Source organism: Homo sapiens, chromosome 18, assembly GCF_000001405.40.
Source record: "Homo sapiens chromosome 18, GRCh38.p14 Primary Assembly".
In the NCBI taxonomy this organism is placed as follows: Eukaryota; Metazoa; Chordata; class Mammalia; order Primates; family Hominidae; genus Homo; species Homo sapiens.
The window spans coordinates 22,240,462-22,267,803 of NC_000018.10; the positions used below are offsets into that span (position 1 = coordinate 22,240,462).

The 27,342-nt window shown below is 44.5% G+C and overlaps 1 long non-coding RNA gene and 1 other non-coding gene across 3 annotated transcripts; one reads left to right on the plus strand and one right to left on the minus strand.

Annotated features, from left to right (window-relative positions):
* Positions 1-2,470: 2,470 nt before the first annotated feature.
* LOC105372018 (uncharacterized) lies at positions 2,471-27,342 on the minus strand. 2 transcript variants are annotated; one of them, XR_001753369.2, is made up of 3 exons: positions 27,002-27,342; positions 3,509-3,723; positions 2,471-2,571 (listed from the first exon to the last, which is right to left on the minus strand). It is a non-coding gene; the product is annotated as an uncharacterized LOC105372018 (long non-coding RNA). The 2 variants fall into 2 exon arrangements; XR_001753368.2 differs by having other exon boundaries at positions 2,471-2,773.
* On the plus strand, positions 20,115-20,216 carry LOC124904367 (small nucleolar RNA U13). Its single transcript, XR_007066485.1, has one exon. It is a non-coding gene; the product is annotated as a small nucleolar RNA U13 (small nucleolar RNA).

Sequence of the window (27,342 nt, forward strand, 5' to 3'; positions counted from 1 at the left end):
GTGCTGGGATTACAGGCATGAGCCTCTGCACTCGGCCTAAAAAAAGAAAAAAACTGAGTTAATTCTTATCTGAGGTTGATTCACAATAGATCTATCAATTTCATCTCTTTCATTACTTAACACATGGCTTACAATACAAAACTATTCTGAAGTCAACTATTTATTGTTTTTGAATTTATTTACCTATTACCTGATAGGGAACCATGGGAACTTAGAACTAGCAAAGGCTTAGGAACACTGTGGTTTATCTCAGGTCTAAATATTGGAGCCCCAAAGGGATCAATATTTTGTCCATAATTGTAGAGATCCTTAAGCGACAGAGCCTGGAATGGACCCCGACTTTCCTGACCCCAACCTGAGGATTCTCCTTCACTAACATGGCAACATCCGCTCCCAGTCATGACTGTGACACTTCCCCTGAAGAGAGAAGCCTCAGGCCACACCGTTTGTGAGGACCAGGCCAGAAAGAAGCCACAGCGCTCCTCCTGGGTGCTTGTCTGAGGTGGTTTCCTTAACTTAGTTAAGAAAAGGAGAGCATTTCCCTTTCCTCCCCATAATGTAAGAGTCATTCATTATCGGAGTAGGGACTGATAGTTTATTTCTAAAATATCTATTGCAGTCATCAAAATCATTATTAGTAGTACATATATTTTACATTTTATAGGATTAACTTGTCATGGCCCTTTCAAGTGCACTATTGTGTCCTAGCTGTGCCTTTGAGTGACAAGTATTGGTGTTCCCATACTACTGGGAAGAAATTTGAAGCCCAGTGTGGTGTTTGCTAATGGTAACATAACCAGCAGGTACGAATAAGCAGGAGGGATGAGCTCTCAGGAACACAGGTCTTTTAATTCCTCTCCTTGACCCATTCATTTATGTGACAGCTTCTGTGACTGAGATGACAGCTAGTTCTGCAACTGTGAGTGGGGAATTGAAATCTCCTGTAATTTATGTTGAAAAAAATCTTGGATGATTTATTCCTGCCAGGCACTCTCTTTGGCCTCTGACCTTCAAAAGTCCTCACCCAAAGGACAGTTTGTGACTGGGTTCCTGTTTGGAAGGTTGTCGCTGAAGGTGTATGCAGTGTGGCTGGAAACAGCACCCCGGCCCTTGGTGGCTGCGCTTGGTTCCCCTTAAGGAAGCTCCTATGCCGTGCTGGGGCCTGGCCTTTAATTCCCAGAGGGCATTAGTGCTAGCGACACCTCACATCACCACTGAGGCACCTGCCTCTGTTGTTCTCATGTGCATTTTCCAAATCCCCAAATCTGTGCGTTTCCAGAAGTTTCTGGAATGGGGAAGATCTCAAGGACTTACTTGTTTTAATGGTTACAAAAGGCTGGTTGGGCCAATTTCCTTAGGGCATGACCTCTCTGGGGAAGAATTCTGCACCCACAAATCACGGATGGAACAAGGAAGTATTTTTATTCATGTGCCCCGTATCCCTTTTTTCTTTTGAGGCGTCCACCAAAGGCTCAGGATTACCTCTCCTGCCTGCTCCTCACCTCAAAGGTAAACAGACCATAAATTCTGCAGTAAAGCAGTGCAAAGGTTTTAAAGGCTGTGTTTACAACCAGGTTTGATCTCTGAAAACTGAACTTTACTCAAGATAGAGAAAAATCCGAGGAAGAAAGGAAAGGGAGAGATAGCTTGCATCGCACAAATCTCTTTTCACCTCATCGGCCCCCAACCTGGGAGACACACATTCCTTGTATTCAGAACCCAGCGTTCTCACCTCTCGACATCTGCCACGCAAGTTAATGGCAGTTGGGTGTTTGCATGGGAGTGCTGCCCACAAAACCTGTTCCTCATGATTAATGATCAGTTAGTTAAGTGTTTCAGGTCTACAGGATGGCTTCTGTGGACAAGAGAGAAGATTCTGAGCTTCAGATATGTTTGTTCTGTCAGGAAGTCTGTCCCTGGACTCAAAGGCCCTCTGAGGACTGAGGGTGGCTCCTGGGAGGTGTCTCCCCAGGGATCGTGACTCCCACCAGGCACCTGGTCCTGCAACCACAAACTAGAAAAGTGGATGCAGAGTAGCTATCAAATCCATTTGCCAAAACCTCCAAAAGCCTGCTCTTCCTGCTTCCAAGCTTGGCAGAAAGATCTTCCTAGGGATAGGCAAGTAGAGGCCATGAGCAGTCCCTGGAAAGAATGAAGGGCCGAACCTGGGAATCTGGGGGTGGCTCGGCCATTTAGGCTCCTTGGGGTGGGGCCATCAATGAAAAAAATATTAAGATGGCTCCTCATGACTACTTCTATCATCTGTCTTGGCAAGAGGATCTGAAATAACATCTACCTTTCCCTTTGTTTTCAATTAGCAGCAGAGTGAGAGCTTGGCCTGCTGACCGCCCCCTTGGCCAGATGAGCCCCCATGGATCCTAGCGGCCCCCATCCCTGCCCTCACTCCAGAGTGCCCTCTCCACCCATAACTGCATGGCTGTGATTAGTTATATAGCTCATTTGGATTCTACTTGCCTTTATTTCTCGCATGTGTTTGCCTTGTCTCCTGCTCTTGATTGTAGATGGCAGAAGTTTAGAATTTTAAGAGTCTCAGGACAGACGGAATCACACCTAATAGCACAGTGAAAGCACAGTGTCTGACTTTGCCTTGTCATTGATTGAGATTTGAGTCTAGAAGTCCCTGAATTTCAGCTGACAAGAAAGGGATGGGCTGGCATGAGAGTCACTCCATGCCCAGTGCTGGGCTGAGGACAGTGGCTGAGCCCACCGGTGGAGTCATCATCCTCTGTAGTCTCCATCGGCCCCTGCAAAGCTACCCAGGAAAAATGATGATCTTAATAACATCTTTTAATCTGGACAATTGCTATTTTTCAATTCAACGTGAAGTCTGAAAGGAACATTATTTTTATTAAACTTAACTCAAAAGTATGCTTGCTATAAAGACGCTCCTTTAAGACAAGTTCCCCAGCTCTCCCCTTTTAACCTTATCCTCTCCCATATGGAAATTCTGATTCCACCAGTGGCTACATCTCTGTGGGTTGCAAAGATGGGAGCTGAGGGGCTCACCATCAAGGAAACTGACCAGGTCAATATTGGTCAATACTGAAACCCTACCACAAGGCCAGCCAATGTCAGAGACAGACATTTTATTTGAAATGTAATAAATTTCAGAGTGTAATAAATAGAGAGGCTGTGACTGATGACTACTTTTTTTCAGAAGTAGATGGAGGTAATTTTGCTGTGCACATTCCGCCAAGCACAGGGTAAATAAATAACACTCAGCAAGTTACGAATTTGTTTAAACAGTGGGTGTCTCACTGGGTGTCAGAATCGTAAATGTATCTGAGGTCCCTTTTATACCATTCTCTGGATATAACAATCCTGATCCCTAACTGCAACATTTTTTTGGATTGCTTTAAACCCAAACTGTCAAGTGACAGACTCAGGAGTGAAAGTTAAGCTTTCAGTATCCAAAAACTCACTCATGCACAATGTAAGCCCCAAACAGTAGTGAGTTCTCAATGAGAACTCCATTTCAATAACTTACCCGACCTGGTCTGCTCCCAGATGACCCACGTGTTGTCTGTAAGGATCTCTCCCAATCTTTCTAATGATCTGTGAGATATGTGTATTTATCTCCATTTTACATGTAAGAGAACGGAGGCTCAGAGGGTAGACGATGTGCCAAGAGCATGAAGCTGCAAAGGCTGCGGCAGTGTCTGCATCCAGGTCCCTTCGACAGCAAAGCTCGTGCTCTTTCCACTACACAATAATGAACACATGGAGTAGGATTTGGCATGTGAGAGAACCAGCTAAGATTCTATGGCAGATATTTTTCTATTTACTTATTTTATTTTATTATTATTATTTCTTGTTTGAGACAGAGTCTCCCTTGCCCACCCAGGCTGGATTGCAGTGGTGCGATCGTGGCTCCCTGCAGCCTCGACCTCCCAGGTTTAAGCGATCCTCCGATCTCAGCCTCCCCAGTAGCTGGGACTACTGTTGTGCACCACCACGCCTGGCTATTTTTTATTTTTATTTTTTCTGTGGAGATGGGGTCTCCACAATGTTGCCTGGGCTGATCTCAAACTCCTGGGCTCAAGTGTTCCTCCTGCCTTGGCCTCCCAAAGTGCAGAGATTACAGGCATGAACCACTGTGCCCAACATCAATTTATTTATTTTAAAAAGGAACAAGAGGAAGAAGGTAGGTCATAAATTGCTTTATCACTTTCTTTTCTTTATCTCTCGTCTCCTTAGCTTTTCAACCCCATTCCAATTCCTCTCTTGATCATCTCAAGTCCTGTGTAAATCCCAAATTTAAAAAAAAATTTATTTAAAAATAATTTTAAACTTGTAGAAATGAGAAAAACCTTATCTCCCTTTCACCCAGATTCCCAAATTGTTAATATTTTGTATTTGCAGGCTGTCTCTCTTGCCCTGTCTCTCTCCATATATATCGTTTATTTATATATATTATACATAGATAAATAATTAATACATAGTCTTTTTCTGAACGATCTGAGAACAAGTTGCTGACATGCTACTCCATCAGCCCTAATTATTCTAGTGTGTATTTCCTCCAAACAGGGACACTCTCTAACACCACCATCATACAACCATCCAAGCCACCTTCCTACATGATCATTTGTTTCTTTTTAAAAAATGTTTTATTAGAGATGAGTCTTGCTTGGTCGCCCAGGCTGGAGTGTAGTGGCACGATCATAGCAGCCTGGGCTCAAGCAATCCTCCTGCCTCAGCCTCCCGTATAGCTGGGACTACAGGTGCACATACCACACCCCCATCCATTATCATTTCACAGACCCCATTTACGCTTTGCCAACTACCCCAAGAATGCCACTTCTTTCTTTCTGGTCCAGGATACAATTCAGGCTCATATGCTACATTTAGTTGTGAAGCCTCTATAGTCTCTTCTGATCTGGAGTGGTTCTTTAGTCTTCCCCCTGTGTTCCCCTACCTTGTAGAATGGCCCGTGCCTGGGTCTGCCTGACGTTTCCTCATGCTCTGACTCAGGTCGGGCATTCTTGGCAGGGATGCTATAGAAATGGTGTTGTGCACCGAGGAGGTCCATGTTGTCAACCTCAACCGTCTCACCACTGATGTTAGGGGAGCCTTCCTCCATCACCTTGTTTATGTCACCCAGGTGGTAGTATGATCACGGCTGACTCCAGCCTCAAACTCCTGAGCTCAAGCGATCCTCCTGCCTCAGCCTCCCAAAGTACTGGGATTACGGGTGTTAATATGCATCTGTGTGGTACTGTTTCTTTTGTTTGTTTGTTTGAGATGGAGTCTCACTCTGCTGCCCAGGCTGGAGTACAGTGGTGCGATCTTGGCCCACTGCAACCTCTGCCTCCCAGGTTCAAGTGATTCTTCTGCTTCAGCCTCCTGAATAGCTGGGATTACAGGTATGTACCACCACGCCCGGCTATTTTTTTTTATTTTTAGTAGAGACGGGGTTTCACCATGTTGGCCAGGCTGGTCTCGAACTCCTGACCTCAAGTGATCTGCCTGCCTCGGCCACCAAAGTGCTGGGATTACAGGTGTGGGTACTGTTTCTTAATAAGACCCACAATATGTTTTGAGTTTGGTTTTATAAGATAGATACCATTTCCTGACACCCAGAAAAGCTCAGTGTTCACTTTTTTCCCCCTCAATTTTTATAAGTGTACAAAGAACATTTCTATAAAAATTCTCACCTGGCCTATTGTGAAGGGCAGAAGGAAAGAAGGTAAAACTCATACATAACTAGGGAAAAATGGGGAAGTTCTAAAGTTAAAGTTTAAGTCATGTCAACCATAGAGACCTCAGACGTATTTCCTACTGTGCCTATTTAGGTGAGGTGGAGGGCAGGGATGGAGGAAATCGATGATCTTACAACAAAACTGTTTTTAACACTCTCCTGGCCCCTACTAGATTACTTAAGATTTTAGTGAAATAGGTCATTTTGCTTTGCAATCTGCTTAGAACTTTCTGGTTATTTTGAGGATTCTTCCATTCAGAGAAATCAGTAGCGAGTTTGGAGTGAGCCTGATCTCCAAGGTCCTGGGGTGGGCCCAGGAGCGACGCAGAGTCTGGAATCACGTGGACATGCACACAGTGGGAAAAGCAGGCTTGGTTTTTCCTGTGTCTCCTTGGGCAAAGTACTTCATTTCTCAGAGTCTCAGCTTCCTAATCTATAATGTGGAGGCTACTTCAAGGAAAGAGAAAAAAGAGAGAATGGTCACAGTGCTTGACACATAGTGAGCATCCAGAATGTGTTAATGATGATTACAGGGCAAGCCTAATGCCTGGCCCTTGACCTAGGTTGCTCATGGTTCAGTTTAGCCAATGAACTATGAACTATGAGTATTCTAGAAGTCAAATCACCACCTTGTTAGCTTGCATCTCCTAGTGTTGCCACCACTCCCAAGGCACCAAGGAACTTGGGTATTTTTGGAAATTAAACACACACACACACACACACCCCCCACGTCACTTGCCTTCATGATGTGCCAAGGATGTTTCTCTAGCCCCCACTTCACCATCTTAGATGAAGTTCCGAAGAAATGGACCCTCAGAGAAGGACTCGCATGCCAGTAGCTTATTAAGGAGCCAGGTAAGGGAGGAGGAGGAGCAGGAGGGAAAGAGATACCGCCGCCATCAGTCCCCACAGAGGGCAGCTTCAGCTTGATTTTTGCAGAAGAGTCCTGAACTATTAGGGATGATTCAGAATTCTCCTAGCACCTGTCGGTCACTGGACCTACCCTGGGGAAAGAACTCTCAGGCTCTTCGGCTCTCTGCCCTCTGGACAAAGGGGCTCCAGCAGCCCTGGAAGTCCTCCAGAGCAGAGCCTTGGGTGCTGGCTGTGGGAACTGAAAGCACATTGAAGTTGGGGGTTGGAGGGGAAGCACTGACATTTCTGCCACTAGACCCCACACCAGTGCTCAGGGTTCTGGAGTTTTGACAAGGCTGGAGGCAACCATGGCAGGTGAAGCTGGTGGCACACACTGCCCCCTCTCTCTCCCCTCCCTCTCATCGCCACAGTTCTTACCCCTTGACAGGAAGGCAGTGTCAAGGCCTTGGGATCTCCAACTCAATTTCTGTCTTTTCTGTCAAGCTGGACATGATTCTGCCCAAAACCCACCTCCTGTCCTGCCAGCCCAGACTTCTCTTTTTCCTTTGTAAGCCCTGGGTCTTTCTCGTTCTAGTTAATACCAGTAAATGAAAGAGTCATGGAAATCACAAGAGAAGAGTCATCTCTCCCAGGACAGGGCACCGTGAATTGCCAAAGAAGTAGTTGATATCATAGCAAGACCTACCATGCAGAAGACGAGAGCGCTGTCTAGGATGGGGTGGTTAGGAAAAGAAGAACGTCTCTGGGCTTAGGCTGGTCTTCATTGCAGGCTTCAGATTGTTAGCTGAGGGGGGAAGACCTTCCAGCAATCGGGATGGTATGGGCAGAAGTGCCAGGTATTTGGGGTGAACCATGAGTCGCCCCATTTGTCAGTGGTGCTGATGTGGAGGGGAGGGAGGAGTTGGTGAAGAGGAGGGGCTGAGCCGCAGCCAGGGCCTCCAGAGCCTGGGTTGGGGTAGCAGGGAGTGAACAGACAGGACATTCTTCTGGGACTTCTGAAAATTTTGGCTAATTTTGGGGATTTATTATTTTATTTTTTTGAGACGGAGTCTCACTCTGTCACTCAGGCTGTAGTACAGTGGTGATGATCTCGGCTCACTGCAACGTCCACCTTCTGGGTTCAAGCGATTCTCATGCCTCAGCCTCCGGAGTAGCTGGGATTACAGACATGTGCCACAATACCCAGCTAATTTTTGTATTTTTAGCAGAGACAGGGTTTCACCATGTTGTTCAGGCTGGTCTTGAACTCCTGGCCTCATGTGATCTGCCCATCTCGACCTCCCAAAGTGCTGGGATTGCAGGTGTGAGCCACTGTACCCGGTCCAGTTTTAGGGATATTTTAGAGTTATTTTAGGAGCTACCCATTAAACATCTAGACAAATTGTTTATTTATACATAAAATTGTGACTTTGTCCAGAGGAAGGGAATTTCTGACAGAATGTACCCTCTACCCACTCTCTGTGGTTTGAAGGAGGTAGAGTTAAAAATAAGCAATCCATCACATTATACTAATCTGATTTTTTAAAAAATGAGCCTCTATGTCTATGATCCTGACATATTTAAGAGACAAATGGGGATGGGTATTGGCAGTGTTGCAGAGTAGGCAGTTGACAAGTAATTCTTGAGCGTTAAGAATTTGAGCCAATAGTGCGGTAGTTTGATTTTAATCCAGCCTCAATATTATTTTATGCAGGGTGGGGCCTCTGGGCTCGGTGTTGGTAGGATGATGACTGCAGAGAGATTGGGAGAGGAGCTGTGTCTGATCTTTTGAGGGGGTGTCTTTGTGGGTGCGGCTGAGCACTGTCTCCCATGAAAACAATGTTCTACAGTGAGAATCCTGTGTACATGTGTTGAAAAAAATAAAATGTGGTTTTCCAATTTCTTGTAGGCTTTCAATCTCATTGACATAGTCTAGTCTAATAAGGAAGCTCTATATTTTCCAAATTAATTTTTCCCTCCACCAAGGGAACCAGTGATGCCAGATGGACATAAACTCTTTCAGAAAATGTCTACACTCATGGGCGATTTCCTACACAAATGGTTGCATAATATATACACTGTTTTGTTCCTCGCTTTTTAACCTAACACTGTATCTTAAGAGATCATTACTGATCAGTACATATAAAGCTAATTTGTTTACTTATATTATTAATTCCTAAACACACATTATAAAGCCTTTATACAATACAGAAATATACAGAACAAAAAGTGAGCGCCTCATCACTATCCCTTTCTCACAACTGTTTTTTAAAGATCTTAACATACACACACATGCATGCATTCACACATACACATGCAGAGTATTTTAAAAAACAGAAATGGTATCATACTTCTTTTGTGTGATATCTTTTTCATTTTATTTTTTTTTTGAGACGGAGTCTTGCTCTGTTACCCAGGCTGGAGTGCAGTGGTACAATCTTGGCTCATCAGAACCTCCATCTCCTGGGTTCAGGCGATTCTCCTGCCTCAGCCTCCCGAGTAGCTGGGACTACAGGTGCCCGCCACCATGCCCAGCTAATTTTTGTATTTTTAGTAGAGATGGGGTTTCGCCATGTTGGCCAGGCTGGTCTTGAACTCCTGACCTCAGGTGATCTGCCCGCCTTGGCCTCCCAAAGTGCTGGGATTACAGGCGTGAGCCACTGTGCCCGGCCTTCTTTTTCATTTTAAATATATGACTGATATCTGTTTATTTCTGAAGATACAGATCTACCTTAGTCTTTCAATTTTATTTTTTATTAATAAAAATTAATTTACTATTTTTTTTGAATAGATAATACACATATAAGGTGCAAAATTTAAAATTTTATACAGGGTATAAAAGGGTACACAGTGAGAAGAACGTCTTCATCTATCTCTGAACCCCCAGCCACCAATTGTTCCTTTCAGACACAGCCACTATTACCATTTATGCCGTTATCTTCTAGATAGTTTACGCATTTACAAACATATATTTTTAAAAATTTACCTACAAAAATGATAGCATGTTATCCATACTGTTCTCTCTCCAGCTTTTGTTTTTTACACAAAGTAGACCTCAGCTATTTTTCATATCCATATGTATACAGATGCCTTATCTTTTTAAACAGCCACATGGTGTTGTATTCCCTAACACAGATATACTGTAATTTATATGGTCTGTTCATGAGCAGTTTTATGGGATTGGAGGGTATCAGCTGCGTAAATTCCTAGAATACAGAGACTGTCTGCCTCCCTGTTCCTTCATCGTGTCTTAGTCCACCCATTCTCTCACTCATTGATTTATTTACTTATTTGATCAATTTCAGAGCCCGTTATGTGTTGCACATCATTCTAAGCTCTTGACCAATTTAAACTGAATCTTTTAAAACCATAGTATCCTTTCGCAAATAGACAAAGACGTGCTGAGCTAGATGAGAATGTTAAGCATCTTCCTATTTGCCATGTTTTACCTGGACCACCCATAAGCTACCCCAATCAGCAGGGAGGGTGTAAAACCTCCAAAGAGGAACACATTCGAATGTCTCTGAGCCCCTGGCTTAATCGTCCAGCTGTCCTCTGGGGGCTCTGCTGTGCGGTTCCACCCAAACCCCGTCCCTCTGCCTCGCCTGTGACTGAGTTTGGCAGTGGCTGGGAAGCCAGTGGATCGTGTGCCAAGTTCCAGATGAGTAGGAGAGAGGTCTCATCCCAGCCAGCCGGTAGGTAAGTATTAGTCACACAGGGGCACAAACAAGTCTCTAAAACCACATTTAGCCAGCTGTGGCCAGCAGTGTCCCATGCTTGGCTGCCTACAGACACCTCTGCGCTACATTAAGAAAGAGTTACCACTTGTTGCGGCAACAAAGCCAGCTGCTGGGAATTAGGTGGTAAAGATCAGAGGAAGAGGGGGTGGCTGCAGGAGCTGAAAGGGAAGGCCGAGCCACTCCCTGCACAAATAGTTCCTTGTGCCTCTCCTCCAAATGGGAGTTGGCACCAGAAAAGGAGTTGGTTAAAAGGAAGGCGACTCTCCACACCCTGGCCACTTCGTCAATGAAAAGAGAGACCCACTGATGAGGGATGATCCTGGAGATGGAAACGGGCCCCAGTGGGAGAGGCCAGGATGAAGTAGAAGGACCACTGCAGATATCAAAACGCCCTTGGCAGGGTGCGGGGGCTCGACACTGTAATCCCAGCACTTTGGGAGGCCAAGGATCACTTGAGCTCAGGAGTTTGGGACCAGCCTGGGCAACAGAGTGAGACCCTGTCTCTAGAGAAAAACAACATCAACAAAATGTCCTAGATTCTCTCCGCTTGCACGTGAGATGGAAGAGGATTTTCTAATTTCTTGGCTCCAGCACTCATCTCAAAAAACACTAGATCAGAAATACTGTGCTGTGTTTCTCCCCAAAACCCTGGGCTTCAAGGGTGAAAGATTTATGTCTACCAACCTGAAGAATAAGTCTTCCTTTTCTTGCTTTGGGTGTGACTTTTAATTTAAATATCAGAATACAATCTTTCTTTAATTTCCAGTCTTTAGAAGTGAATTACTGTACTCCCTACAAAAAGGTTGCAGGAAATACTCTCAGAGTGGATAAATATTTCCAGAGCATCAACAGGATAAAGGCTGTGCTTTCACCTTGAAAGGCTTGTCCACAATTCTCACATTTTTCATTTATCCACTTATTTATTGGTTTAATAATCCATCAAGGAAACATTTATTTAGTGCTTATTATGTGCCGGGCTGAGCTCTCTTTATGCCTTATCTAGCTTCATCTCACTATAATTCCTCTAGAATGAAAGCTGCATGAGAGTAGGGACTTTTTGCTTCTTTCGTTCATTGTTTGTCTTCAGTAACTAAAATTGTGCATGGCACATAAATATGTGTTTGAAAAATGAATTAGGTAAGTTATATTATTATGGACCTTTTACAGTTGATAAAACAGAGCCTTACATAGATTATTAAGAAGCTTGCTTAATTAGGAAAAATAGCTAATGCATGCTGGACTCAATACCTAGGTGATGGATTGCTAGGTGCAGCAAACCATCATGGCACACATTTACCTATGTAACAAACCTGCACATGTACCCCAAAACTTTAAAAATAAAAATTAAAAAAAGAAAGCTTGCTTAAAGTTTCAGAGCTTATAAGAGGCAGAGTTGGAATGTAATTTCATCTGACTCCAAAGGCAACATGTATTGAAATAGATGAGGGAGATGTTGTGGGATCACCAAGAAAAGATGATTTTTTTTTTTTTTTTAAGATAGGGTCTCACTCTGTCATCCAGGCTGGAGTGCAGTGGTGTGATTATGGCTCACTGCAGCCTTGACCTCCCTGGGCTCATGAGATCCTCCTACCTCCATTTCCCAGGTAGCTGGGACTACAGGTGCATGATATCACACCTGGCTAGTTTTTGTATTTTTTGTAGAGATGGGGGTTTTCCATGTTGCCCAGGCTGGTCTCAAACTAAGCGTTAGCTAAGCAGAATAACTTAATCCAGATAGTGACTTCTGAGAAGGAGATACAAGCCCCATGATTTAGGAAGCTATGAAAAGCAAGCTGGGCACAGTGGTGTACTCCAGGAATCCCAGCTACTCAGGAAGCTAAGGCACAAGGATCACTTGCGCCTAGGAGTTTGAGGCCAGCCTGGGCAACACAGCAAGACCCCATTTCTTTAAAAAAGAAAAAAATAAAGGAAGAAAAGAAAGCTATGAAGAGAAATTTAGGAATGTTTTTTCATCAAATAAATACTGAAAACCTGCTTCCTATCAAACCCACACAGACAGAGGATACCATATATACCAACATACTGAATGGTCTCTGGAATTTACTTTAAAGAGGTCATACTATAAGTAGGGCAATTGAAAACGGGGTCTGCATTTTTTTCCCATTAAATCAGGGCTTGGTCCAACCTTATTTTGCCAACAATGAACATCCGAGATCAAATATCAAGGTTTATCCCTCAAGGCCCAGCTCTAGATGCCATTTCCTCCCAGTTTTCACAATCAAAATCCTCAGGCAGGGCACAGTGCCCACACCTGTAATCCCAGCACCTTAGGAAGCAGAGGTGCGAGGACACCGTAATCTTGATCCTCACTTCTGAAGTCACTATTTGGATTAAGTTATTCTGCTTAGCTAATGCCTATAAAAATTCCCATTCATTACTAACGGTGGAAAGCGGCTCTGACAGCCTTGCCTTCCCCTTCATCCCAGGCAGCCCCATCCTTACTAATTGGAAGGGGAGATTGAACATTCTTTGCTTTTGATCAAGATTTGTCTCCTGCCAGGAGCAAGGAAGGATGTGTAGGAGGGAATGTCTCCGATAATAACAATAACAAGAGTAATGAGTAAAAGTTTTCAACAGGATCTTGGGCAATGAAGTTACCCAGGCCATTTATACATGTTTATAGTGTGAGTGTTTTTTCTTCAGCTAACAATGGCACCAAAATGCCTTCCTTCCCTCGGCCCCCTCCCAAACACGTTGAATGGTCCTGTTTGAGCTACAGAGGAACAGCTTTCAAAACTAGACCTTTTTTTCCTGCTTATTTCTGGCAATGAGTAAATGGAAATGGGGCGGTTTTGGCCTTTGGTTATGGGAGGGCAATGCTCTCATGGTGCCTGGTTTCTGGATTTTGTGGCTGAGAGCTTCAAGTGGCCTTCTTGAGCCAGTAGCAGGGCCTGTGGTGCAGCCGCTTGTCCAAGTGACTGAGGAAACCTTTCCTTCAACTTCCCTCCTCTTCCCAGCTTGAATGTAATCGGAGTTGCTATCCCCATGTTTAAGAAACAGACTGTGACTTCAACAACAATGAACTGACTTCCTACACATCCCTCTGCACCACCTCTTGGGTGATTTAGAAGAGGAAGCAAGATTTCCTCCTCCTGGCTCCGCTGGACAGAGCCTCCTCCCGCGTGGGTCAGCCGGGCCTGGGCTCTGGGGGTGCAGGAAGTCTCTCATCCTCTCACCCCATCCACATCCTGGAACTGGAGGATGAGCAGGAAGTGGAAAGTGTCAGGCAGAGTCTTTCAAGCTCACAGTCGGCTCCGGGCAGCTCGTGGGCCTTTAGGAAAACAATACAAAACTTTCCAAATGGTTCTTTTAATGGCTCTCTGCAAACACTTTACACAGTTGTGTTTGACGCTGCCAGTCACGAAGACTCTGGGATATTTATTTTGTTTTCTTTTCATTTTGCTGCGGGGAATAAAAAGTCACGGCTGAGTGTTGTTCTCAGTAACTCTCTTCCTGGTTGTTTGGAACACCTTTGACGGTGGCTGGCCTGGGTCGGGCCCCTCCCTGTTCTCTCCTACGGGGCGAGTTACTACGGCAGCCCTCTGCCCAGGGTTCCGAAGATTAATTGGCCTGAGTGATGCTTTAAATTTGGGAGCATGCCCCCATATACCAGGGGCCAGCTGCCAGCTGTTCTGAACCTTAGGGCACACCACATCACGTCTTCAGTGCCCTCATTTGTGAAATGAAGGGGCTGGAATGGTGACGTGACCCAGGTCAAATGTTCTCTGGGTCAGTGAGCTCCTGACCAGCCCCATACAGAGACCCCCTGGAGTCTTATGGGGCAGTGACCTCAGGTGTGCTCTGAACCCTTCTCCTGAGGCGTCTTCTTTTTTTTTTTCCATAAATTTTTTAAATAAATAGAGACAGGGTCTCGCTAAGTTTCCCAGGCTGGTTTCAAACTCCTGGGCTCAAGCAATCCTCCTGCCTCGGCCTCCCAGAGTGTTGGGGTTGCAGGTGTGAGCCCCCGTCCCTGGCAGAGGCCTCTTCTCTACATTTTCCTTCTTCCCTCTTTCCAGGTGGAGGCTTCTTGCTCCTGGGGCTGACCCCTTAAACTTTTCTTCAGCAAATCCCCACTGACTTGCCGTAAGACATGATCTGGCACATTGAGCTTTCACACAGCCATCTTCTGATGTCTTTACCAGGGTGGTTATTTTATTTTTATTTTTAGCCCTAGAATGCACCAACGGGGCCCAAAGATGACAAAGTTGTAAAACTTGGCTTTGCCAATGACTTCTTTTCAGTACTCTCTAGTCTTTGCTGTGTCAGGTCACAGCACAAGCCCGGTCGGAAAATACCCTGGGGGGCTCCTCCCTGCCCTTCCCAGACTGCCTCTCCCTTTCCTTCTTTGGCCATTGAGGTAGTAATAGGAAGAAGGAGCTCTCTTTTATTTGGAGGTTGGCATTTATCAAAAATAACATTTTCCCTGACGAATTTCCAGACACTGCCCATCAACTACCTTGGGATTTCACTAATTTTGAAATGCAGACGGTTCTAAGGCACTCCCCATCTCACGAGGGGAGATCTGAGGGCAACGCCTCTTTGACTTGGTATGAGATGGATGTTCAGAATCTCCATGTGAGATGAGAAATCTCAGCTTCCTCTGATCCCAAGCTGAAGGTGATGATACTTGGCAGAGTTGCTTCAACATGGAGCCTCCCTAAATTTAGAAAGTAACGGACCATAAACAGAGACAGTATGAACATGAAACTGAAACTAAAATTGATACTTCGGGAATTATTTACCTTTCTGACTTACTAGTGAACAATTTTAGTCTTTGCTTTAAATCAGATAGACTATGTGAGTGTCTCTGTGAAGTATCTGGCACAAAATAGGTGTTCAGTTAATGTGAGCATTGTTCACTTGTCACAACACGGGTGGAGACTCCTGCTCAGAGTTAGCCTCCTCAAGGGCTGGGAGGGTGGAGGGGAGGAGAGGTGAAGACCCATACCTGCTGGCTGAGACCCCTCCTCTCTCCAGAATAGAACTGGACAGATGGGACCAGGCATGGTGGTTCATGCCTGTAACTCCAGCACTTCAGGAGGCTGAGGCAGGTGGATCACCTGAGGCCGGGAGTTTGAGACCAGCCTGGCCAACATGGCAAAACCCCGTTTCTACTAAAAATACAAAAATTAGCCCGGCATGGTGGCAGGCACCTGTAATCCCAGCTACTCAGGAGGCTGAGGCAGGAATATCGCTTGAACCTGGGAGGCGGAGGTTGCAGTGAGCCAAGATCACGCCACTGCAATCCAGCCTGGGTGACAGAGTGAGACTCTGTCTCGAAAATAAAATAAAATAAAATAAAATAAAATAAAATAAAATAAAATAAAATAAAATAAAATAAAATAAAATAAAGTAAAATAAAATAAAATAACTGGACAGATGGAACAGTCACATGTCAATGGATGCCTATGGCAGCTTGCGGGACATCTTGGAAGGAAATGGATTGATCTGCCTGATTTGGCCTAGTGGCCTGAAAGGCTTTATATATGTACAGACCCCGAGGTTCTTCTTCTTTTTTCTTTTTCTTTTTCTTTTTTTTTGAGATGCAGTCTTGCTCTGTAGCCCAGGCTGGAGTGCAGTGGCGCCATCTCAGGTCACTGCAACCTCTGCTTCCCAGGTCCCAGTTCAAGCAATTCTCCTGCCTCAGCCTCCAGAGTAGCTGGGATTACAGGCACACGCCACCATACCCAGCTAATTTTTGTATTTTTAGTAGAGACAGCGTTTCACCATGTTGGCCAGGGTGGTTTTGAACTCCTGACCTCATGATCTGCCCACCTCGGCCTCCCAAAGTGCTTGGCTTACAGGCATGAGCCACCACGCCTGGCCCCCCAGGTTCTTCTTAAAGCATCAATTGGCTTGATCGTCCCCTTCTTCCCCCGAAATTTATATATAAAGTAGATATATATAAATTGCCTCCCTGAGTCACATATCCTTGAGGACCACGTCATGGAGACTTTGCAAGGTCATAGGAGGGCTGGGCCCCTAGAATCCCCTAAGTCAGAGGCCTATTGGGCAACCAGTGTCTGTGAGACTGGAAGCCTGGGAGACTCTAAAATCATGCTGAGATCATGATGAATTCCCCATCAATGTCTGTCATTCAGAAGTCTGGAAACCCAAATTGAGAAGTTCCCAAACAAAACTGCTGGACCTTGAAGAGGCTACAAAAGAGTGAGCTGTGGTGCCTCCATCACTCAGGAATGTGAGGGGCTGGCCAGCTCTTCTGGTCCTAGTTCTCCTTTGTGTCACCCCCTCCTTGGCTTATACCTTGCCAAACTAAATCTTCTTCCATTACCGTCACACAATTAGAATCAGGCCAGCAGCAGGGGCAATTTTGTCAAGTTGTGAAATGCAAACAGCTTTCTACCTTAATTGCTACCACTCTTCTGCTGCTGTTACTCTTGATTGCATCAGCACACTTCTAAATTTGGTGAATTTTTCTCTTTTATGGGAGACGTGTGTGTGTGTGTGTGTGTGTTCAGGAAAGCCACACTCTGGTCATGTCTCTAGGTCTCTAAGGAGCCCTCTCCTTGTCTGCATGGCTGGTCACCGTCCCATGCTGACCACCTCACCCTCCTGCCTAGGGGCCAGACCATGAGGGTTGGCATCGCAGCCTCCATGGCCTCCTTATGATTTGGCTCTCATGCTCTATCCGGCACTCTCTTTGGTCTCCACTGACTTTGGTGCCAATGAGTCCTCTGGATGCCTTTCCACAACCTCAGGAAAGGCAGCCTATCCTGACTCATGGTTTTGGATGTGAAGTTGTTGCTTCTAAGCTAAGTGTGGTCAGGAAGTCTGTCCATCTATGTTTGTCAGGTAAGCCAAACAGATTTGTTGCATCCCAACCCTGTGGCAGGCACTCTGCTAAGCACGAGGACCCAGAGAAGAAGGATGGTTTCTGCTTTGGGGAGCTCTCCATCTAGGAGGGAGAGTGATTCACGAACACATTATTTCAAAACAATGTGGCAAATTAAGGGGTAGAAAAAATGGGTCCCGAAATGCACTCGGAAGGTTTGGTTCAGCCAGATCTGATGGTTTAGGCTGCTGTTCTGATTGGACGGTACCCGGACAGAGCTGGAGTGTCAATATTTTGAGTATCCCCTGAGAGATACAAAGCAGAGTGCTGAGGAGAAAGAATCAGATCAGCCGTGGGATGGGGGAGGATAGGTACCTCAGCTCTGACTTACTTAGTGATGACTTGAAAGCGGAGGAAGGAGGAAGTGAAGAGGAAGGGAAAGAGTATACCAGGCAGTGGCATCACCGTAGGCTGCATGAGTGCAAGCATGCAGAAGCCAGGTGTGCACGGATATCCCCATGGCCAAGTCCTTGAGGGTGGTGGAGAGCGGTGGGAGGCAAGGTGCCCTATGAATGGTGGGTAAGCTCCAGAGGGACTTGGCCTGGTTTTTAAAAAGAGTATCTGGCACCCAAGAAAATAATGGAGTGAGGGAGTCAAGACTAGAGAAGGAAGTCTGAGGTTTAGTTAGGGAATAATTGCAACTCCCTAGAAAATAGACAATCCATTTTTATGGGGTGTCCCTTCATTCCCATTTCATGTATATTTCCCTCTTCATCCATAGCTTTGAGGCAAGTGACTGAAGGGCCATTCCCTTCCTCCTTTTCCTCCTCCTCCTCCTCCTCTATGTCTTTTTCCTCCTCTTCTCATCCTTCCTCTCCTCCTTTTTCTGTTTCTTCTTTTGTTGTGTACTTTTTATTTTGAAATAATCTCTATAGACTCACCAGAAGTTGCCTAAATGGTACAGAGCCCTCTTTAACTCTCACCCAGCCTTCATCCAATAATATCATCTTACTTAATTTTAGTATAGTATCAAAACTAAGAAACCGTCATTGGAACAAAACTGTTAAGCAGGCTACAGACTACTCAGATTTCATGTTTCTACATGCATCTATGTGTGTCTGTGTAGTTGTATGCAATTTTATCACGTATGTGTCTTCGGGTGACCTCCACCCTCATCAAGATACATAATGGTGCCATCACCCCCAGGGACCTCCTGCACTGCTCTTCACAGCTTCACCACCCCCTCCCCCACCCCCCGCCCCTGCCGCCCACCCTGTCCTGAAGATCCACTCTGATGAGCTAAGCTATGGGGTTCAAACAGTTGCTGACACCAAAAGGAAGAAAAATATGCTTCTTGGCACATAGAAACCTTTGACTTTTTGCACTCTCTCCATATGGGTCAGGCTTAACCCCTGGAGGTTATGAATGTCATGGTGGACTCTGTGCTTTGGCCTGAAGCAGTATGTGTTGCTATTCCTGAGTCTGAGAGCGGCTGATATTCGTGCCTGGGCTGCAGCCTTTCTTTAAAGCACCTTCTTTATGAGATCTCTCATATCCTCAGGGCAGGACAAAACTGGGGGTTAGTCAGCAATGGACATGATGATTTTAACATATGCTAGAGGTGCACAAGAAGTAATTATTATGTGGCCTAGTGCACATTTATTTTACAGACGTCATTGTTCTCGTATTTCTTTTAAAAAGCCCATTCCTTCCCAAATGGTGAATCATTTGTTCAATAATAACTTCTCATTCTCTCAGTCTATTGTGTACTTGAAATTCATAAATATCACTTATGTACAGACTGACCTCACCATAGATGCATTCCTGAATGTATATATAAGCCAGATATTTCAGTATTCAATTGTAAGTATAGCAAGTCAAAGTGATTGTAGTTTTGGAGATGTCATAATAGCAGCTTAGATTTGAAATTGTCTTGAGATATCATCTGGTATAGGTTTTGCTTTACTTAGGAATCACTTCTCCAAAGCACTGATGTTCATGGATGTTTGGGGATAGGAGTTCATGGCTCGTGGGGCCACGGATCACTCCATGTCAGAGACTGAATCATTTGCTAGTTCCCTTTTTAAAAATCCAATTTGGATCCCACAGAGGAGAAAAAAAGAAAAAAAAAGAAAATGCAAAATATTCTATCATATACATTTTCTTTATTGGTTTGTCCTTTTGATCTACTCAGGATAAATGAAATTTCTTCCACAAACGGTCTTGCTGGTTATTTGAAAGCAGTTCTTGCATTTCCTTGAAGCATTCTCTTTCTAGTATAAACACCATTGTTTCCTTTAACTGGTCCTCCAGGCCCTCATTCCCCAGACTCTGCCATCCCATCACTTCCTCAGGATGTACTCTGGAGTACCCCATGTCACCCTTTAATCTGATATCATGTTTTCTCTGTTATCACAAACAGAAAAACAACAACAAAATTTGACTGACCTAACTATATAAACCACACGTAGGACATTAAACATTTTCAACAGAATCCTGCTTTTGTGATGTAAAATCTCTACTTTTAATTTTCCCTATGGTTCCTGTAAGAAAAGTTGGTCATATAAATACTTCATCCACATAGTAAGCACTTTATAAAGGTTCACTTTTATTATTATTATTAATTTAAAACAACTAATACTATGCATTAAAAAAAACAGCACAGATAATGTCTCTAGTGGGAAGAGGGGCAAAGCCGGGCATTTGAGGGCACAGACACACGGAAAAGGAAATCTGAGAAAACTAAAGCAGCTTCCCACATCTTAACTTCAGTCAGGTCATAATCAAGCTTTCCTGACTCACTAAAGAGGTTCTGCCCTCCGAGGGGTGAATAGTCAAAATCAATTCACTGCTGACATGCGTGCATGACAATCTTATTTCTTTGCATTCCTGAGATGAAAGCCTAATTGAGCGTTGTTTTAAAACTATTGTTATTTTAAGACAAAGAGGAGTAAAGTTATATTTTTACACTTTAGTGATAATTTTTATGATCTTCTGTGGTTTCTAAGTGTGATGATTGGGTTTTCACACAGTTGTGTGAGGTGTGCCACCTTCAAACCTTGTTATGACGTCGACACTTACCCATCTGACAAGAAGAAAGGAAAAAAACAAGAAATAATTTTTAGGTACTAAGACAAATGTTTTCTTTGTGTGTGTTGCCTCTTTATTTTTATTTATTTATTGATTTATTTTTATTTTTTTGAGACAGAGTCTTGCTCCATCGCCCAAGCTGGAGTGCAATGCTGCAATCTCGGCTCACCGCAACCTCTGCCTCTCGCGTTCATGTGATTCTCCTGCCTCAGCCTCCCGAGTAGCTGGGACTACAGGTGTGCACCACCACGCCTGGCTTATTTTTTGTATTTTAGTAGAGATGGGGTTTCATCATGTTGGCCAGGATGGTCTCAATCTCATGACCTCGTGATCCGCCCGCCTCGGCCTCCTGAAGTGCTGGGATTACAGGTGTGAGCCACTGCACCCAGCTTATGATTATTTTTTTAAATTTTAGACTTAAGGGTGCATGTGCAGGTTTATTACATGGGTACTTTGTGTGATGCTGAGGTTTGGGCTTCTACTGATTTCATCACCCAAACAGTGAACATAGTATCTAATAGGTAGATTTTTAACCTCACTCCCTCTCCTCCACCCTTTGGAGTACCCAGGGTCTATTGTTCCCATCTTTGTGTCCATGTGTACCCAATGTTTAGCTCCCTTTTATAAGTGAGAACATGCAGTATTTGGTTTTCTGTTCCTGTGTCAATTTGCTCAGGATAATGGCTTCCCGCTGCATCCATGTTGCTGCAAAGGACATGATTTTGTTCTTTTTTATGGCTGTGTAGTATTCCATGGTGTATTTATGCCATATTTAAAAAATAAAATCCGTCATTGATGGGCACCTAATTGATTGCATGTCTTTGTTATCATGAATAGGGCTGCAATGAACAAACATTTGGTAGAACAATTTATTTTCTTCTGGGTATATACTCAGATATGAGATTGCTGAGTTGAATGGAAGTTCTATTTTTAGTTCTTCAAAAAAATCTCCAAACTGTTTTCCACAGGGGCTGAACTAATTTACATCCCTAACAACAATGTATAAGTGTTCTCTCTTTTCTCCACAACCTTGCCAACATCTGTCATTTCTGGACTTTTTATTAAAAATAGCTATCCTGGCTGATGTGAGATGGTATCTCATTGTTGTTTTGATTTGCATCTCTTCTGATGATTAGTGATGAACATTTTTCTATATGTTTGTTGGCTGCTTGTATGTAAGACAAGTGTTTTCCTGTTTGACTAAAAAATACTGGTATCAAGAGTCAGTTATTCATGGCCGGGCACGGTGGCTCACGCCTGTAATCCCAGCACTTTGGGAGGCTGAGGCGGGCAGATCACTTGAGGCCAGGAGTTTGAGACCAGCCTGGCCAACATCGTGAAAACACATCTCTACTAAAAATAAAAAAAAATAAAAAATAAAAAAGAATTCGCTGAGTGTGGTGGTGCGTGCCTGTAGTCCCAGCTACTTGGGAGGCTGAGGCACGAGAATCACTTGAACCAGGGAGGCGGAGTTTGCAGTGAGCCGGGATCATGCCACTGCATTCCAGAGCATGACTGTATCTCAAAAAGAAGAAAAGAATGAAAAGAATCAGTTATTCTTGCTTAAAGTGATACTAGGTCATATTAATAAACAGAATTAAATTCCTATTTATATTTTAAGTAGTTGACTTAGAAATAAGTTAAAACTTACAGAGGAATTACAAGAACAGTGCAAAGAACTGACATATGTCCCCAATCAGATTCCCCGACTGAATTCTACATCCTTCACAGCTATTGACTGTTAATATTTCACTATATATGTTCCATTACCATTTATTTCTCTCTCTCTCTTTCTCTTTCTTCCCATTTCTAATGGTTATTCCTAGTCTTTTTCTGACCATTTAAGAATCAGCTGTGGACATAATGCCCCATAACCCCTAAATATTCCAGAGTATGTTTCCCCAAAACTTTTCTATATATTCACTAAATGACTTTCCAACTATCTACATATTCACTAATGAATTTCTGACTCAGCATTGAAATCAACTACTGCACTGTCCACAGATCTCATTCAGTTTTGGTCAACTGTCCCATCAGTGTCTCTTTTTTGTTTCTGGTCCAGAATCCATCCAGAAATGCATGATGCATTTAGTTGTCCTGTTTTTTCCATATTTGCCGGTCTTGAACAATTCCTTACTCTTTCTCTCTTTGTAATTCCCCACTCTTGACAGTCTTAAAGAGGATAGGCTTTCTCTTCCTTAGGACTATTACCTTTTCATGTATTCTCTCTTTTGTTGTGTCTAGACTAGAGTTTATCCCATTGATTTGTTATTATACTAATAACTGTATTTTTCATTTCTAAGATTTTTCATTATCTATATTAATTTGTTCATGTTTCCTATTTTTGCCTCATAATTTCTTCTGCTTTTTAAATGAAAATTATTCCATTATTTGAGCTATATGTACTATACATATCACATATATGTTGTTCTATAACATAAATTTAAGTTGGCATGAATTTGATTCTGATTGTTGATTTTGTTGACTTTTCTTTCATTGAATTAGTCTTTCTCCCCTTGGCTTGCCCCTCTCTCTAGTGGTTTTGAGGGTTCCTCCACCAATTCTCTGGGTTCCTAGGCTCATATGGCTTTTAGAACACTGGTACTGATGAGATTTGGTGATATCACAGATACAGTCACAGAGCTGCCAGGCAGCTTTGCTCAGTTCTTGGTATCTGTGTCCTTTTGTCCTCCAGGGCCTGTGGTTTGCTAAAAACGTTAGCCTCAGGCAGTGGTAGACACCAGTTTGTTTGTTTTTTTCCTTTCCTCCTCTATTCATTTCAGTAGTAGAGTGGCCTTAGCCAGCCCCAGTCTTCAACATTGTGTAGCACAGCAGTTGGATTCCTGCCTGGCCTCCTGTCTTGTAGACCTGGAACCTGTTGCTTCAGCCCTGTTCACTCCTTTGCATTTATGACCCATTTTCAGTTGCAGCGTTGTTTAATTCGTTTTTGAGAATAGGCTATGTCTTTGTTTGTTTGTTTGTTTGTTTTTTGAGACAGAGTCTCGCTCTGTTGCCCAGGCTGGAATGCAGTGGCACAATCTCGGCTCACTGCAAACTCCACCTCCCAGGTTCAAGCAATTCTCCTACCTCAGCCTCTTTTTTTTTTTTTTTCCTTGACATGGAGTATTTCTCTGTTACCCAGGCTGGAGGGCAGTGGTGCAGGATCTCGGCTCACTGCAACCTCTGCCTCCTGGGTTCAAGCGATTCTCCTGCCACAGCCTCCCAAGTAGCTGGGATCACAGGCACGTGCCACCACGCCCAGCTAATTTTTGTACTTTTAGTAGAGGCAGGGTTTCACCATATTGGCCAGGCTGGTCTTGAACTCCTGACCTCAAGTGATCCGTTCGCCTCGGCCTCCCAGAATGCTAGGATTACAGTAGTGAGCCACTGTGCTTGGCTTCTGCCTCAGCCTTTTGAATAGCTGGGATTACAGGTGCATGAACCACCACACCCAGCTAATTTTTGTATTTTTAGTAGAGACGGGGTTTCATCATGTTAGCCAGGCTGTTCTTGAATTCCTGGCCTTAAGTGATCCACCCCCCTCAGCCCCGCCAAAATGCTGGGATTACAGGCGTGAGCCACTGCGGCTGGCGAGAATAGGCTGTATCTTTTAGCTTTCTATTTTTATATCTTACCTGTCATCATTTTATGCTTGGGACTTAGGAATGAGATAAGAGTGCTGTAGACTTCAGGTAATGCATCCTAACAGCGGCCCCAGACCCACCTGCCGGATCTCTCATGCGGACTTTCTGCAAGAGCTTCCCTGTGAGGGGTCTGATTTACATTTGCCCTTACAAATCTGTTTTCCATTAAAAGTGCACATGAAAAAATGATGTCCTTCTCTAACTTAAAATTCTCTTGGTATCCCTTGCTCTAAAGTGCAAAATCTTTTAACACAGTTTACAAGGTCCGTGGGATCCGGCCCTGCCTCCATTCCAGATTTCTTGGTACTACTTCCTCCTGCATCCTGAACCTCTGCTCTCCAACAACGTTGGCCCTCCTTTAGCTCCTGGAACCACTGGCCTCTCACACTTCAGAGCCTGCACACAGCCTTCTCCTCTGCTTGCAACCCTCTCTCCTCCTTTGCATCCTCATCCCTGACCTCCTGGATACATCCTGTTTACCTGCTAGACGTCAGCTGGATGTCTTGACCTCAGGGAGACATCCCTCCACTTCCAGCTTGGGTGACCTTGTAATATACTGTCAAGGGGCCCTGTACTTTTTGTTCAGATACCTGAATATATTAATTGGTATAACTTATTCACATTTATTCATGTGATTATTTGTTGATCTTCGACGGGTTTTTTCACCCCTATATGCCCGGCACCCAGCACCACGTGTGGATTTTCACAGCTCACGCCAGATTCCAGGAAGCAAGGGTGAGTTATTTAAGGCGTCAGGTGGTCTCGGCCCTGCTTCCCCTCTCATCTCCCCTGTTACCACTTTCCTCCTCACTGTCTCTTCTTCAGGACACCCATGGGCCGACTAGTATTTCCCCAAACCCAGCAGTCATGCTCCTGTGTCCAGGCCCTGGTGGTTTCTGTCACGTTATTTGAAACACTGCCAAAAGAGCCTGCAGCTCACTCCCTGCAGAGTGCTCCCATCACCTCCTCACTGAGGCCTTCCTTGACTGGCCTATTTAAAATGGTAACCCATTCACTTCCCTGCATCACTCTCCTCTGTGGCCCTTGGCACTGTGCAAAATTCTACATCCTTCATGTCTATCATTGGCCTCCCCTGAGAAGGAAGCGTTGTGATGGCAGAGTTCTGTGGGGCTCATCGATGGCTCCTTGGCACTTAGCACATGCCTGATGCGTGGCAGGTGCCACACAGGTGTTTGTTAATTGAAGGAATGAGTTGCCTACCCCCACTCTGATTTAATATTTGCTTTGCTCCTATTGATCAGGAAAGAAGGCCTGATTACACCTGCTATCTGCCTAAGGTATTTTTTCATCTCCTTCATGATATCAAAATATTCTTATTCATTTTTATTCCTTGAAGCCTAACAGACATTTCCTGAGTATGCGTTTGGTTTTATGCTGCTGAGATGTTCCTCTTGAGAAAACACACATTTCTGTTTCTTTTCTTTTAGGTCTTAAAATGGTAACGAAGAGACTGGAGGGATGTTCCTGCAGAGATAACATTCAAATCCTAGAGAGCAGGTGCAGATGCAGGATTTGAAGGTGGGGCTTCTTGTGGCTATAGAATTAGTTTAAAAAATAATAAAAGAGGAGTAGGAAGACATCCTGCCACCTAGCATCATTTGTAGCCAGAAGCACGGCCATGGTGGAGGCTCACTTCTCAGTGCCCTTGCGGCTGCCACCAGCCCCAGCTGTGGCAGATGCTCCCCTAGGCCTGCGCACCCCCTCCCTCCCACATGCCATGGGATGGCAACAGCCGCTCATGCTCCAGGCTTTGGCAGGTTGAGGTGGAAGAGTCTGTTTTCACAGGTGCAGCCTGCAGCCCAAGGTTGAAATTTGGCTTAGAGCATGTCCCTGAGTATAAAGCTAAGCTTCTTTTGTAATGAATACTAAAAACAAAAACAAAAACAAAAACCTCCCCCTAAAATCCTGAAACAGGTTGTAGGGCCCTGGAGACCTTAGGACCCAAGGATGTCCCTGCCCTCCATTGTCACAAAGAAAATTTCTTTTTGCTCCAGACAGAAACTGATAATTGTGATTACTTCTGAAATCTATTGTTTAGTTTGAAATATGTAGGAATTGAGGAAAAAGGCTCTTTTCTCCCCTCCTAAGCTTCCTTCTAGCGGAGCTCCCCCAGTCACAAGGATTCTTTGCCTTTTCATCTTTAGAGAGTCGGGAGCTGCATAAAGGCTCCAACCTGCATTGGCAGGGAAGGGCCTGCCTTTGCTTTACTGTACATTTTTGACCGTTTAAAAATCTGCATCTCAAGGCCAGGTGCACTGGCTCACGCTTGTAATCCCAGTACTTTGGGAGGCCAAGGAGGGAGGATCACTTGAGGTCAGGAATTTGAGACTAGCCTGGACAACATGGTGAAACCCCATCTCTATCAAAAATACAAAAATTAGCCGGGCATGGTGGTGTGTGCCTGTAATCCCAGCTACTCAGGAGGCCAAGGCAGGAGAATCACCTGAACCTGGGAGGCGGAGGCTGCAGTGTGCCGAGATTGCGCCACTGCACTCCAGCCTGGGTGACAGAGTGAGACTCCATCTCAAAAAAAAAAAAAATCTGCATCTTTAGTCCACTGGTCTTAGAAGAGCTGGAGCATGAAGAGACTTCTGATTGTCGAGACCCCAGGCATTAACACAGAAATGCAGTGACGTGTGATGGCTAGATGAAAATCCTTCTGGAGTGAAGGTGACAGTCTAAATGTTCCACTGATATTACAAATACACACCTATTATAATGTGCCAGGAATTTAAAAAAAGTTTTAAAGTGTTAACATTACTTCGTTTAGTCCTTAGAAAATTCTACACAATAGATATTAATATTAACCTTCTTGTACAGGGACAACAATGGCTTTGGGGTCTTGCCCAAGGCATCCTGTTAAGAAATGGCAGAATTAGCAGGCAACCCAGACAGCCTGAGTCTTGAGTCTGACTCTTCATCACCTCACTTTGCTGTCTCAAAGTTCCTTCCAGGCCTGTGGTTGGTGGTCTCCAGTTAGATGTGTTCTTCCCCTTTTGTGGGAAGCTGAGCATGGACACCATGCCCTTACTCCTGGCACAATGGCAAAAGAGCTTGGCCACTTTCCCCTCCCTGCTGGCACCTATCACATGCTTGAGGGAAAAGTAGCTGCTGTCCTTACCTGGGAGTGAACCTCCTTTCTTGGCTGTTCCCGGTTGGCTGGGAGTCCTTTGAGTTTCAGGATTCCAGTGCCTCCTCCCACATCACAAACATGTTACACTGGAATACCTGTTCTCTTGGTTATGTGCTTGCAAATATCCCTCACTTGGGATGAAGGCGAAAGTCCTACCTTTCGCCTGGTTGGTAATCCTGGCCCTGATGTATGCAGGATCCATGCAGCGCAGTAGGCGCTCCAGAAAAGCATCCCTTTGTGATAGGAACAGATACAGTGACATAATCCCCTGGCATCCAAAGCAGAACAGGCTGTACTTTTTAGAAATAGCATATTCACCTCTCACTCAG